Raw genomic sequence first — 15951 nt, 5'->3', positions numbered from 1 at the left:
TGTTAATAGAATGAGATTGAGGATAGGGTATAATGGAATTTTGTAACCATGGAGTAAGATTCCAGGAGAAAAGTGGAAATATTTGGAGAAGGAAACAATTAGGAGTTTAATGATGGGTAGAGGAAGCAAAAGCAGTCTGAGAATAAGAATATGAGAGACCAATTAAGGACCCAATATGTATAGTAACAGAGGATAACTGGGATATAAATGTCTTGAGTGTAGCTGGTGGCAAAGTTTCCAAAAGAAACTTTATCTCAGCAGTCCCCTGTATGTGAGAGTGGAGACTTGATTTTGTCTGCAAGGAATGCTTTTGTGCAAAGTCCCAGAGAGCAGGCCAACATGAGATTACTAGTTAGTTCTCAAGACACTGACCAAGTTTTAGAAGTAATAGCAGTAATTCCGTTTAGAAACTTCTGCTTTGGGACTGGGTGCGGTGGGTCACGCCTGTAATCCCAGCACGTTGGGAGGTCAAGGTCGGTGGATCACGTGAGGTCAGGAGTTTGAGACCAGCCTGGTCAACATTGTGAAACCCCATCTCTACTAAAAATACAAAAATTAGCTGGGCGTGGTGGCACACACCTGTAATCCTAGCTACTCGGGAAGCTGAGGTAGGAAAATGGCTTGAACCCGGGATGCGGAGGTTGCAGTGACTTGAGATCAGGCCACTGCACTCCAGCCTGGGCAACAGAGCGAGACTCTGTCTCAAAAACAAAACAAAACAAAAAGACAAATGTCATATAATTACGTTACTGGGTTTACTGGAATGAGTGTGGCACTAATTGATTCCTTTAAAGACAGTCTTACCTGAATTGTGTTATTGTGGAAGAATGGGACATGGGCTGAAAATGATTTGCTTTACTGTTCATTGTATCTTAAGCCAGTTGACTTCTGTCTTGTTTTTTTTTTTGTTGTTTTTTTTTTTGTTTTTTTTGAGATGGAGTTTTGTTCTTGTTGCCCAGGCCGGAGTGCAGTGGCACAATAATTTTGGCTCACTACAACCTCCACCTCCCAGGTTCAAGCGATTCTCCTGCCTCAGCCTCCCGAGTAGCTGGGATTACAGGCACCCACCACCACGCCTGGCTAAATTTTTTTGTATTTTGAGTAGAGACTGGGTTTCACAATGTTGGCCAGGCTGGTCTCAAACTCCTGACCTCAGGTGATCCACCCACCTAGGCCTCCCAACGTGCTGGGATTACAGGAGTGAGCCACCATGCCTGGCCATGTCTTCCATTTTTGAGAAGAATGCACTGCGTGAGTGATAACATAAGTAAAAGGCATTTTTAAATGATAACCTTAAGTTGTCATGGACATGTAAATCACTTTGACTGTTGTTATAATAAAGTGAACAGTTCTTTTCTATAGAAAGAATAACTAAAGCTTATAAAGCCTTTACCTAAATAACTTGGGAGAGCACTGTTACCTGTAGCAGCTTTTATATTGCAGTTATAGTTTTTGTTTTAGTGAAACCTGTGCGAAGGGATCTCCAGAATTAGTGTAGATTGATGAATACACACTTTTCAAAACTCTTAGAAACAGTTGCCTCTTTTTTTTTCTTTTTTTTTTAATTTTATTATTATTATACTTTAAGTTTTAGGGTACATGTGCACAATGTGCAGGTTTGTTACATATGTATACATGTGCCATGTTGGTGTGCTGCACCCAACAGTTGCCTCTTTTACTTCAAATCTATTAAGAGCCAACCAAAAATAGAGATGATAGCAGTGATGATGTAATTGTTTAATCTTAAGTACCAGGTGAAGCTAATGAGTTTAATGTATGTACTCAGTAATTACTAACATTTTGGATTTACTGTTTAGTACAGAGGTGTTCATAACTGAATTGAAAAGAAAAGGAAGAAAAGTTTAATTTTGTGGTATTCTTCATTCATTCCTGTCTTTAACTTTGCTGTCCCAAGTCTAATGGGAGTAAATACAAATACATGGCTACTCTTAATTATGAAAACAAGACTTAATGAATTTAGAATTTAGTCTTTTCACAAACTATAAATAAGGAAATTGATTTGTCATTTCTAGTTCACTTTAATGGTAATTTAACTCTCTAATTTACACATTGCATACAATTGATATTTATTGAATTCCTCTTTGGACAGCCTAACAATGTACAGACACTGGGAAGAAATTAGAGGAATAGTCTCTATCTTCACTAAGCATATGAGGTGGGACACTTTTTATTGCTTACTTTGGCTAGGCATCCATTTACATACTAATTCATTTAATTCTCACAACAACCCTATGAGGCAGGTACTGTTAGTGCCCCTATTCATTTAGCGTGGAAGCAATTGAAGCACAGAGGCACTACATGACTTGTCCTGGATCATATAGTTAGTAAGTTATGGAACTGCGATTCAAACCCAGGCAGTCTGCTTCAAGAACCTGTGCTCCTGATCACTACTCTGTACTGCCTCTTGTTCCAGAACAGTATTAAGAAAAAAAAAAATCTGATACTGTTCAATATAGTAGCCAATAGCCTCATGTGGCAATTTAAATTTAAATTTAAATTGATTAAAATTAAAAATCTAGCTCCTCAGTTAAACAAGCCACATTTCAATTGCTAAGTAGTCACATGTTGCTAATGGTTACCGTATTGGACATTTCGTTCTTTCTTTTTTTATTTATTATTATTATTATTATTTTGAAAAAGAGTCTCATTCTGTTGCCCAAGCTGGAGTGCAGTGGCACCATATCGGCTCACTGCAACCTCTGCCTCCCAGGATCAAGAATTCTTGTGCCTCAGCCTCCTGAGTAGCTGAGATTACAGGTGCGTGCCACCATGCCTGGCTAATTGTTGTATTTTTAGTAGAGACAGGTTTCGCCATGTTGGCCAGGCTGGTCTCAAACTCCTGGCCTCAAGTGATCTGCCTGCCTCAGACTCCAAATGTGCTGGGATTATAGGCATGAGCCACCACACCTGGCCTGTATTGGGCATTTCTATGGCTGTAGAAAATTCCATGGGACAGCACTGATATAGAAAACAAGTGTTATAGTAGTTCAAGAAAGTAAGTGTAAAATTATCCTAGGCACTAATGATTGAATGGGTGGCTTAAGTAAGTGGCTAGATGGACTGTCCCCAAGAAGAGGGCCATATTATAGGTGAAAAAGAAGGAAACAATAGTAAGTTCAGTTCTGGACATGGTGAAAGGAGGTATCTGTGAGCTAGCCACCTGGAGCTGTCCTGGAAATGAAATGCTGAAGCTCAAAAGACAATTCTGAGTTGGAATCATATTTATAGAAATAATCCCGAACCACTAGAACTGATGCAATTTCTAAAAGAGAAAATTTAGAAAAAGGTTGGGGTATATTTAGAGAGTTGATGGGAAAAGAGGGGTCAGAGAAAGACTGATTAAAGAAATAAGAGGATAGCCAAAATGAACGACAAGAGCAAAGAGAGATGAGAATTTCATGAAAGAGGGATTGATTTTTAGTAAGAAACAGTAGCAATATAAGGACTGAGACAGGAAAAAAAAATACTGGATATGTTGTAAAGTCTCTGCTGACCTTTGAAAGTGCAATGGAATATTTGTGGCAGAAACCAAATTATATGACTGGCAGAGAGGAAATAGAGACAGAGGTTTAACTCAATTTTTCACGAAGTTTAGACGTTAAATAAAAGAGTGAATGGGTACAGAATGGCAGGGAAAGTGAAGGGCTTTTTTTTAATTAGAAAAAAATAAGCTTGACTGAAGGCAAAAGAGCAGTAACTGGAAGTGAAGAGACAGCAGTAACCTTTACACTATTCATTTGTTCATTTCTTCCTTCAATACATATGTTACATACCTCCTTGGTATCAGACACTGTGCAAGGAACTGGAAGTATAGCAGTGAATGAGATAAATTAATTTCTGCTCCTGTGGTATATTCTCCTAGTATCTCTTTTTCACCCTTCTCTCTTTGTTACCAACTCCCTCCTAAGACCTCCTACCTCCCTTCCTCTCTTTAATAATGATTCTGCAGGTACAAATACTAAACCAAACTTATTAGCATCTACAATATCCACTGTTCTTTCTTGATGTGTATCATTTTTTTTCTAAATATGTTTCTGCATTTTAAAAGTTACAAACAATGGGCCAGGCGCGGTGGCTTACGCCTGTAATCCCAGCACTTTGGGAGGCCAAGGCAGGCGGATCACAAGGTCAGGAGTTTGAGACCAGCCTGGCCAATATGGTGAAACCCCATTTCTACTAAAAAATACAAAAATTAGCCAGACGTGGTGACATGTGCCTGTAATCCCAGCCACTTGGGAGGCTGAGGCAGGAGAATCGCTGAACCCAGGGAGGCGGAGGTTGCAGTGAGCTGAAATCATGCCACTGCACTCCAGCCTGGGTGACAGAGTGAGACTCCATCTCAAAAAAAAAAAAAAAAAAAAGTTACAGACAATGAATGAACTCTTCAAATGAAACAAAACCTTATGTACATAGGTCTTGATTTTGTTTTCAAGAAAAAGTCAAAAGCTGAATAAATGAGAAGGTCCAAAGTGGCAGCATCGTTGAGGAGTACTGTTCCTTTTTCCATTTGATGATCAGCTGTACTGTTGCTTCCTTTATTGTTAAGAAAATCCTTTATTGTATAGCTGTAAGGTCTGTAATGACTTTAAGTATCAGATCCTTGATGACCTGCTTTAAATATAAAACACACTTCTCATAGTTTGGCATTACCTCCCATCATGTTGGGTTCTCAGTATAGCACCAAAGTACTACTTACTGTGTCAAGAGCAATACTTGTTATAATGTCAAGCTTTCCCTTGGAAATTACTCACACATGTGAAAGATGTAACATCATAACTAGAAGCTGTAAGCTACTGATTTAAAATTGTTGGGATTCATTCCATGTGAATTGGGTTAAACTTAGCCAGTATTAAGTTGGAAAGGAAAGAAGACACCTTATCTTCTGATTTTAAAAGGAAACAGGAAAGGATTTGACTAGGAAAGGTAATTTGTGGTAGAGAAGAGTTTAGATGAGTGAGTCAGTCTGGCTTGGGAGTATGCATAGCCTGAAAGGTGCTGGCTAACAGGTTTGGTACAATGCAAGGCTAAGAGGGTATGCTGCCTAGAAATTTACATTGGATGATGGCTATTCTCAGAGGAGTTATAGTCCTTTAGAGGAGGCAACATTAGGTACTTGAAATAATTTAGAGAAAAAAAATGGTGTACTGCAGTGGTTGCCAAACTTAATCATGTATCAGAATCACCTAGGGAACTTTAAAAAAAAAAAATACAGACTCTTGAGCCCCATCCCAGAAGTTTCAAGGACAGTCCAGGAATCTGTATTTTTTAACAAACTTCCTATTGGCTTTGATTTAGTTTGCTCTTGGAACTGTACTGGAGAAACACTGGAATTCGGTAAATAATAAACTGAACATAATAAAAACCTGGAGGATGAGTTATCCTAAATTTATTCATGTATTTAATAAACATGTCTAAGCATCTAATATATGCTAGATATTATGCTATTTTCTAGGGCTAAAGGATGAATAATACATGGTCCGTGCCCTTACACTCAGAGTCTAGAAGAAGAGATATCAGTAGATAAATAAGACAGTGTGCTTAGTGAAATGATAGAGGTGTGTAGGATGCTATGGAAGCAAATAGGAGGAGTACCAAACCTGCTCTGGTTGATTTGGGCCCAGAAGGAAGGTAGGATCAGAAAGACTTAACTGAAGTCGCTGAGCTTTTTCATAACAGATAACTTACTCTTTATAAGACCTCATACTGCTTTTTCTCATTGTTTTGCTTAGAAATCTTGCTAAAACATATGTTTTTTCTGCTTGGTTTAACTTTTTTACTGCTAACTTGACATGATCACATATTATAAGTTATTTTTGCCATATAACAAAATAGTGATGCCTTCTATTGTAATATGCAGAATTAATTTCCATTATCCCAAATGGTCCTCAACTGCTGCAACTGTGCTATTCTCATTTTTCTGTCATACTGTCTTTGATGTCAGTCTGATAATTGTCTTCTTAATGTCAATGTGGCTGTTTATAGAGTAGCATATTTATTTAAATTTTTCCTTGGCCAAAAGGATTTGGACAAAAAAATTGTGAATAAGTAAAAGTGTAAAGCATTAAGTTGAATGTAGTATGTGAGTTTTAGTGCATTTTATGACATCTATTTTAACTACTGAGCTATCTTGTTTTTTTAATTATTATGTCAAAGCCAGTAGATACTTTAGAAATCACATAATACAATTCTTTCATTTTATAGGCAAAGAAACTGAGGCTCCAAGATACCAGGGACGATCAGTGGCAATCAAGGAGTAGAATCTAGGCCTCCTGATACTGTAATAGTCCCATTCTATGAAAGCAGCAGTTCTTAACGAGGGGATTACAGCAGAATCGTTTGGAGAATTGTTCAAAATACACATGCCTAGTATTTAATCCCAAAGGTCCTGATTCAGTAAGATTGGCATGTATATTTCTTAAAAAAAATTAATTCTTGGAAAATGCCGATGTGTACTCATGAACCAGCATACTTTAATCTGCTTGCCATATATCATAATTTGTTTCTGAATAGTTATACAGTACAGGCAGTAAATGCCTATAGAGCCTAGACATGAGAAAAAGAGAGTCTTTGGAGATAACTGTGAGTGAGAAAGTCATTGGAGGGTTTTGAGCAAAAGAGCGTATGATATAACTTGCATTTTTAAAGGATCACTCTAGCTACTGTATAGAAAACAAACAGGGAGGTTGGGGGATGCCTCTAGTAGGGAGATCAGTCAGAGACCATTATATCAATTCAGGCAAGGAGATAGAGACTTTGACCTGGGTGGTAATAGTGGAGATAGGGAGAAATGAACAGATTTTTGACATATTTTTTTAAAGTCAAAGAAGCAGAACTTGTTGGCAAATGCAATAATGCAATATGAAAGGAGTCAAGGATCAGTCTTAAGTTTTTGGCCCAAGTAACTGGAAGAATAAAATTGCCTTTTAGATGAAATTGCCACAAGAATGAGTATTGATAGAAAAGAAAAGAGACTGAAGAACTAAACCTTGAGACACATTAGCAATTAGAAATCAGAGAGATAAGAAGGACCCAAATGGAAGCTGAAAAGCACTAGCCAATGAGATAGGAAGAAAACTAGAAGAGTGTGATATCCCAGAAGCCAGGTGAAAAATGTTGCAAGACACGAGGTGGATCAAATGGTGGAGTAAAATGAAAACTGTTAATTGACCATTGGAGTTAACAATGTGGAGGTCATTGGTGACCTTGACAAGGAATAGTTCATTGGGGTCATTAGGGCATAAGTTCGATAGAAATGAGTTCAAAAGAGAATGTGAAGAAAAGGATTACCGCTAAGAATAGACAACTCTTTGGAGGACTTTTGCTGTGAAAAGGAAAAGGAAAGTGGCATGGTAGCTGGAAGAGGACTTGAGGTCAAGAGAAGGATTTTTTTTAGATGAGGAAAATTATGCCATGTTTGTATGCTGAGAATTGAATTGTGTGGTGAGGATTATCCAGCTGAGAAGGAAAATTTGATGGTATAAGGGAGAGACGGGAGAACTGGTAGAATTACATCTTTAAGCAAGAAAGTGGGGATGGGATCTCATGCACAGAAGGAGGATTTAGCCTTAGGGACATAGGCAGCCTAAGAAAACAGCAAGAAGGAAAGCAGATTATGTGGGCACAGATGGAGAAAGGCAGATAAATACAGGAAGAACAGGTTGTAGAAGCTCCTTTCTAATTGCTTCTGCACTAGGAAGCAAAGTTAGTTTTAACTGAGGATGGGGAAGAGATATTAGAAGTTTATAAAGAGGAAAAAGTATGAAATAGTTATCTGGAAGAGGAAAATGGTAAATTAACTGTGGAATTGATTGAAGGACAGCTCCAAAGGTACACTTAAATTTAGAAAGAATCCATTCATCTTGAATGCGTATTTTTCCGAGCTCCACATTCGGTTGCTGGGTTGTAGACATGAAAGAGGGTAAAAGGTGGATATAACCAAGAGTGGAATTTTGTCAGATGAATACAATGTGAGAGAGGGGCAAAGGAGTGACTGTATGATGGATCATGAAATTTATGCTTAGTTAGGAGGGAGGTGAGGCTTCGGAAGTGGAACAGAGAGCTGTGAAAGATGTTAAGATTAATTAACTATAAGGTCCTCTGGAGTAAAAATTATTAAAGTATTAAAGAGAGTAAGCTTAAAAGATAAGAGGTAGCGATCAGAAAGTCAGAGTAAGATGCTGAAATGCTTTAAACCGGAATAAGGGTACTTACTAGTTTGTTTAGTGGCTATATTAATTATTTTAATTGATTGATTTGTTAGGTTCATGATTACAAAGAAGGAACCCCAGAAGAGAAGACCTACTACATAGAATTATGGGATGTTGGAGGCTCTGTGGGCAGTGCCAGCAGCGTGAAAAGCACAAGAGCAGTATTCTACAACTCCGTAAATGGTAAAACATTTTTAAATTTCTATCTTATATTAATGGTCTAAGAGTATAGATCATCTGATATGTAATGCCATAGCATGCCAGACTCATCTTAATTTGAGAAAGATATAATGTACTCACAACCCTTGATTTAAATCTGCATAGTACATTCCAGTTTGCGTTTCTACATTGTAACCATCTAATTCAGAACATTAAACATTAAGTGTTTCTATTTATATTATTGTCATAAACTAAATATTGAGAAATAAAATCATATTTTTGGTACTTGACATAAAACATGGAACTTAAAATGTTGTCCTCTGGGGTTGCTCTGTCTCCAGTGAGTTGAGTAAGTACAGTAGGACCATAGGAGTCCCATAGTCTTAAGCCAGATAACACAGAGATAGAGGGATTTCTTTCATCTGCCCCTTAGAAAGAGCCCTAAGGCTCTTTCTCAGCTAGTTATAAAGAGCTGCTTAAGGGGGTCTTTATGGGTGCAGAAATTTTATCCAGTTATAGATATTCAAATACCTGGAGCAGACTTCCAGATGGAGCTGTGTAATATACGACATAATTTCCTTTCATAGAGTACCTACTCTGTGTCAAGAGACTAAACTGCTTATACCTGTGATTTGCCAATAGAGTTTCTTTCTTAGTCTTTTTAAAAATTCATTTTTAAAACCTGTTTTTACTGTGAAACATAATTTCAACTTCTGTTTGATTAATATACCAAAGGATTTGGCATTTCCCTCCTGGTAAATGCATAGCCATTAATAGACTTCATTTATGCTGTGCTTAGATCTCACTCAATATTAGGTAAGCATTGCATTTATTCAGTATGTTCATTCCTTATATTCCTCTTCTGATGTCTTCCCAGATCATGAGGTGTTGTAGACTCTACAAAAAGATGTAGAGAAGGTTCTTTTCATTGGATACATATTATAGAATACAGAATGAGATGTGTCAGTTCAGACCCATATCCTATTTAGCTCAGAATTCTATCTGAAAATGTCACAGTCTTAATAAAGAAACAAAGCATTCATAAATGAGACAAAAATAGTTATAAGATGACCTTGATATATGCCATCATCATGCAAAAAGGTATATACAATGGTATATATGAATAGAATGCATATAAATAAGAAAAACAACAATAAGACTAAGTATAGTGTGAGGTGACCTCTTAGAGAAGGAAGTGAAACCTAGTTTAGACTTATACTAGAGTGATCAACTTGTATCAGTAAAATTACTTGTCAAATTAAGATATCTATCTGATCTGGCACAGAGAAGTCTGAATATATAACACCTTTGATATTTAGGTATTTTTGAGACAGAGGTACAATAAAAATTATGAATAAATAATAGAGATAAATACCACTCAAATCCTAGAAGCTATGGAATTCTGAGTTGTAAACTTGTAAGTGCTGAAGAAGAAATCCATCTAATCTATATTTGTTTATCTTTTCTGTACCTACTATTCATTAGTGATTTGTCTCCTTTAATATTATTGAAAGAATTGCATATATCCTATGTTGATTTTGCAGATAAGACTGAAATATATTTCCATTTCTTAAAAGTAAAAAAAAAAAACTGCATTTATTGAAAAACCTATTTCTGTGTTCTTTCACCTTAGCTCTGGAACATTCTTCCTGGTAGAAGCACTCAAAGTTCTTTATTCCATCTACTATCCTTAGTTTCCTAAGAAACTGAACATAAGGATCACTCTATCCAAATGCACAGTCCATATTCTTAGCGATAACTTTCTTCCCTTAATACCCTACATTCTTCCCTCTCTAATAGCCTAGGCTAGTAATCCTTCAGAAGGAAATAATGAAGTGTCTTTACTTCTCTCCCTTAAGATTAAGATATATTATCATATCACCCTGACTCCTTTCATCTCAGCCCCACCTTGATTCTTCTAGCACATGTTCTACAAAGCAATAACTCTCAGCCCAAATGAAAGAGAAAGAATAGGGGAAAAGGGTACTCAAATGCCCTTAAAAGCTCAAAAGTCTTACCTAAAGATCCTCAGTAAAGTCTTCCCTGTCCATCTAATAGCCAACTTAGGCCTTTGTAATTCTTTTACTCCCCCGTCCAAAATTCTCACCCATAGTTTTGCCATATTTATAGCCTGGGGAAAAGGAAAGGGAGAAAATATATGCCAGTTTTTTGCCCTAAAATGGAGATTTTATTCTGCTTACCACCAGTCTTTACTGTCAGATTACCTGAGTGCAAATTCTGACTTACCATGTGCCCAAGGACAAGTTACTCTACTTCTCTGAACTTTAGTTTTCTCTTGTGTATAAAGATAATAATAATTCTTCATAGGACTGTTCTGAAAATTAAATTAGATAACACATGTAAAGCACAATATTTAGTACATTAGTACTGAATAAATATTAGCTGTAGTCTTTAATGGTGGTTCTTTATTCCTTTTTTTAAATCTGTGCCACTGATGCTGATTAAAACCCCTCATTGAGGAAGGAAGAGTGGGTACAATTGGATATTAGGGCAAGTGTCAGATCTCTATTAGTTTCAGACACCAGAAGAGATGCAGGTTTATCTAAGCTGGCTGGAACAAGTCAGCTATAGCTTGTACAAGCCCTTTAGTTACACAGATGGCTATAAAAACTGTAGAAGCCAGCTAATTCTACCTCTTCTGCTTTTCTTTTTCAAATTGACACATACCACCTCTTGAAGATGGAGGAATCATTGGTTTCATGTCCTATTCACAATCTGGGTAATATAGAAAAGGGTTGGGAGTTTGAAACCTGTAGTGTTTTGACCATAAGGTGATATCCTAAATTCTAGTGGGCATCAAAGTTTTTCCTCTTTTGTCTATATCTTGCTGTAATAATTAATTCCCTGATTTTCCTTTCTATCTAGGATTTTAATTGATTCTCTTCAGTTGTATTTTAGTGTATTTCTGGGCCTCGTTACATTTTGTTATTTTTCTCAATCTATCAAAATCCGTGCATGTACTTTCTACTATCCATACTTCTTTACTATTTAATGTCTCACCCACTCTCTTATAGTGGCATATTTCTTTTGCTCTAATAACTAAATCTCTTACAGGTAGGAAGCTTACATAACTAATCATTATTCAAAGAACTAGAAAATTAGACATTTGAATAGATTAGTCTCAGATGATCTACAGGACACTATTTTGTCAGCTAAAGAATAGCAATTGTATCAAATCAGTACTATTTTAGTAGATTTTCATTACCTAATATTACTTTTAGTGAGTATAAGTAATATATGTATGTACTGGTATCTATGGCAGTACTGTGTACAGTGAAGAAACAACATAACTTTTTGAATGAATAATTTCATATGTACTTGAAGTAGTTTTGATTCTCTTGATTAATAAAGTGGTTCTACAGGTAGGAACAGGCATGGAGTAGGCACTCAGGAAGTGTTGAATGAAGTAAAGATCTGCTAAAAGTTTAATGGGATTTCGTCAGCCCTTGTAAAATAAAGAGTTATAAAACTGACAGAGAAAGGTTTATGGCTATTTATAAATATTTGTAGAGAAAATTTTAAAATAATTGTCTCTGAGTTGTTAGTCATACTAGAATGCTAGATTCATTAAGCAACCTAATGCTTCTGTTTACTAAGCTTCATTTGGCCAATTGTGAAATGAAGAGGAATTGTTAAGGGATTAACATTGTTTTCTCTGATTATTTTAGGTATTATTTTCGTACACGACTTAACAAATAAGAAGTCCTCCCAAAACTTGCGTCGTTGGTCATTGGAAGCTCTCAACAGGGATTTGGTGCCAACTGGAGTCTTGGTGACAAATGGGTGAGCCAATTTCACAATTGGTTTGAAAGATTGTAGCAATCACAGGAATGTACTTCCCTGAATAACACTTTGTAAAATGTTTGATTTGCAAAGATTTTTCTTTCAGTGTATAGATTATCTTTTCCTTTTAACAGTATCTTTCACAAAGCAATAGTTTTCATTTTGATGAAGTCTGATTACTCTTCTTTTCTTCTATGGATTGTGCTTTTGATATCATGTCTCAGAACTCTTTGCCTAATCCTAGATGATGCAGGTTTTCTCTTATGTTTTCCTCTACAGATTTTATGGTTTTACATTTTTATAGTAAAACATTTATATAAAACATTTTAAGTTTTATAGGTTTGCATTTAGATTTATGATCTAAGTTAGTTTTGTACGAGATGGGAGGTTTTGGTTGAGGTTAACGTTTGCATATGAATGTCTAACTATTCCAGCACCATTTATTGAAAAGATATCCTTTCTCCATTGAATTGCTTTTGCTCCTTTGCCAAAAATCAGTTGACCATATTAGTATGAGTCAACTTCTGGACTCTAGTTCTGTTCCATTGATCTATGTGTCTGTCCCTTCACCAGTACTACGCTGTCTTAATTATAGTCTTAAAATTGAGCAGTATGATTCCTTCTACTTTATTCTTTTTCATAATTGTTTAGCTATTATAGTTTATTTGTTTTTCCACATGAATTTTTAGAATCAGCTTGTCTATATTGACAAAAATTTTGGTTGGATTTTTATTAGAATTGCATTGAACCTATTGATCACATTGGAGAGAATTAACATCTTTATTCTGTTGCATCTTCCAGTTCATGAACACAATATATCTCTAAATTTATTTAGATCTTCTTTTATTTCTCTTACCAGCATTGTGTAGTTTTCAGCATACAAATCCTGTGCATGTTTTATTAGATTTATACCAAAATATTTAATATTTTTTAAGCTATTGTAAATTGTTTTTTTGTTTTGTTTTGTTTTGTTTTGAGACTGAGCCTTGCTCTGTTGCCAGGCTGGAGTGCAGTAGCACGATCTCAGTTCACTGCAACCTCTGTCTCCCAGGTTCAAGCAATTATTGTGCCTCGGCCTCCCAAGTAGCTGGGATACCTGGCTGATTTTTGTATTTTTGGCAGAGACAGGGTTTCACCATCTTGGCAAGGCTGATCTCGAATTCCTGACCTCAGGTGATCCACCTGCCTTGGCCTCCCAAAGTGCTGGGTTACAGGCATGAGCCACCATACCTGGCCATAAATGGTATATTTAAACTTCAGTTTCAAATTTTCCATTGCTAGTATAAAAAAAAATAGAATTGATTCTGAGTGCTGACCTGTATCTTGTGACCAGAGTTTTTTAGTACAATCCTTAGGATGCTCTACATAGACAGGTTTATTTCTTCCTTTTCAATCTGTGTGCTTGTTGTCTTATTTCTTGCCTTTTCGCACTGGCAGCAACTTCCAAAAGGGTACTAACTAGGAGTGATAAGAGTGAATATCTATGTCTTACTCCAATCTTAGGGGGAAAGCATTCATTTCACTATTAAGTATGATGTCAGCTTTAGGTTTTTTTTGTTGACATCATTTATCAGGTTGAGAACATTTCTTTCTATCCCTAATTTGCTGATAGTTTTGTTAATATCATGAACAGATACTGAATTCTGTCAAAAGCCTTTTCTGCATCAATTGATATGGACATGTGGCTGCTTCTTTAGGCTGTCAGTATGGTGGATTACGTTCACTGATTTTCAATACTGGTGGATTACATTCACTGATTTTCAAATATTGAACCAGCCTTCCATTCCTTGGTCATGGTGTATTATTCATTTTATGTGTTGCTGGATTTGATTTGCTAATATTTTGTTGAGGATTTTTATCCATGTTCATGACAGGCATTGGTGTGTAGTTTTCTGTTCTCATAATGTCTTTGACTGGTTTTGGTGTGAGGATAATGTTGGCCTCATAGAATTAATTGGAAGTATTCCTTCCTCTTCTATTTTTTGGAAGAAATTGAGTATATTTGGTGTTATTTCTTCTTTGAAGGTTTGGTAGAATTTACCAAGAGACCATCTGGGCCTGGAGGTTTCTTATTTGAAAGGTTTTTAACCACAAAGTCAACTTCTTTAGTAATTAGGATTGTTCAAGTTATTTATTTCATCTTGGATGAGTTTTTGTAATTTGTGATTTTCAAGGAATTCCATCTATTTCATTAAATTTTTTAATGTATATCAATAGAGTTGTTTATAGTATTTGTTTATTGTCCTTTTGATAGTTGCACAGTTTGTAGTGATATGACCTTTTTCATTCTGATTTTGGTATTTTATGTCTTCTCTTTTTCTTGTCAGACTTGTAGAGGTTTATCAATTGTATTGATTTTTTTCCAAAGAAGCAACTTTTGGTTTCATTGATTTTTCTCTATTGTTTTTCCATATACAGTTTAATTGATTTCTACTCTTATTTCTTTCCTTCTGCTTGCTTTTGGTTTATTTTGTTCTCTATAGCTTCTTAGATTACTTACTGGATACCTTGCATTTTTGCCAATACAAGTATTTTAATGCTATAAATTTCCCTCTAAACACTGCTTTAGCTGCATCCTGCAAATGTTTAAATGTATTACTTTTATTTTCATTTAGTTCAAAATATTTTCTAATACTCCTTGAGATTTTCCCATAGGCTGTTTAGAAATGTGTTGTTTAGTTTCCATGTATTTAGAGGCTTTCCAGTTATTTTTTGCTATTGACTTCTAGCTTAATTTTATTATGATCCAAGAACATACTTTATATGATTTCACTTATTTTATATTTGTGCAACACCCGGTATGTGACCTGGGTGTTGTTGTCTCTGTTGTTTCAGTTTTCAGTGTCTTTGGTACACTAAGTAGGATCAAATCCATGCATGCACAGCTTTGGCAATGAGCTCAAGCATTCACGAACTACTTCATGGGGTTGCTTTCTCACACTTCACCCTGTCTACAGTCTCTGCCATACTTTGTGATTTGCTGGGGCTCCCTTTTTCGGTCCCCAGGCCAAATTTTCTCATGCACTTGCACAACTGCACCTATGTCCAGGGCCAAGTGGTAGAAGGACAAAGAATAAAAGCAATGGGAGTTTGCCCCACTGTCTTGAGATACAGTTCCATCAGTCAGAAAAATTTCCCTTCTGGGCCCGGCGCGGTGGCTCACGCCTGTAATCTCAGCACTTTGGGAGGCCAAGGCGGGCGGATCATGAGGTCAGGAGATCGAGACCATCCTGGCTAACATGGTGAAACCCTGTCTCTACTAAAAATACAAAAGATTAGCCAGGCGTTGTGGCGGGCGCCTGTAGTCCCAGCTACTTGGGAGGCTGAGGCAGGAGAATGGCATGAACCTGGGAGACGGAGCTTGCAGTGAGCCGAGATCACGCCACTGCACCCCAGCTTGGGCAACAGAGTGAGACTCCGTCTCAAAAAAAAAAAAAAAGAAAAATTTCCCTTCCTCTGTATTTGTAAGCAGGCGTTCCCAACCCCTGGTCCATGGCCTGTTAGGAACCAGGCCACACAGTGGGAGGTGAGTGGCAGGTGAGTGAGCATTACCATCTGAGCTCCACCTCCTGTCAGATTAGCAGAGGCATTAGATTCTCATAGGAGCGTGAATCCTATTGTGAACTGTGCATGTGAGGGATCTAGGTTGCAGGCTTCTTATGATAATCTAACTAATGCCTGATGATCTGAGGTGGAACAGCTTCATCCTGAAACCATCCCCCAAACACCTGTCCATGGAAAAATTGTCTGCCATGAAACT

The 15951-nt window shown here is 36.7% G+C and overlaps 1 protein-coding gene across 4 annotated transcripts in view; it reads left to right on the top strand.

The window, feature by feature from the left end:
* RABL3 (RAB, member of RAS oncogene family like 3) overlaps positions 1-15951 on the top strand; it is a 57743-nt gene that overhangs the window by 24490 nt on the left and 17302 nt on the right. For all 4 annotated transcript variants that reach the window (NR_157022.1, NM_173825.5, NM_001363964.1 and 1 more), the window contains 2 exons: positions 8282-8411; positions 12077-12191. Coding sequence is in view for 3 of the 4 variants with exons in the window: in NM_173825.5 (NP_776186.2) it covers positions 8282-8411; positions 12077-12191 (245 nt within the window). In the remaining variant the exon portion in view is untranslated. The remainder of the gene's footprint in view (positions 1-8281; positions 8412-12076; positions 12192-15951) is intronic.

Source organism: Homo sapiens, chromosome 3, assembly GCF_000001405.40.
Source record: "Homo sapiens chromosome 3, GRCh38.p14 Primary Assembly".
Lineage (NCBI taxonomy): Eukaryota > Metazoa > Chordata > Mammalia > Primates > Hominidae > Homo > Homo sapiens.
The sequence above is the reverse complement of the archived record's forward strand: the minus strand, read 5'-3'. Positions and strand labels throughout refer to the sequence as shown.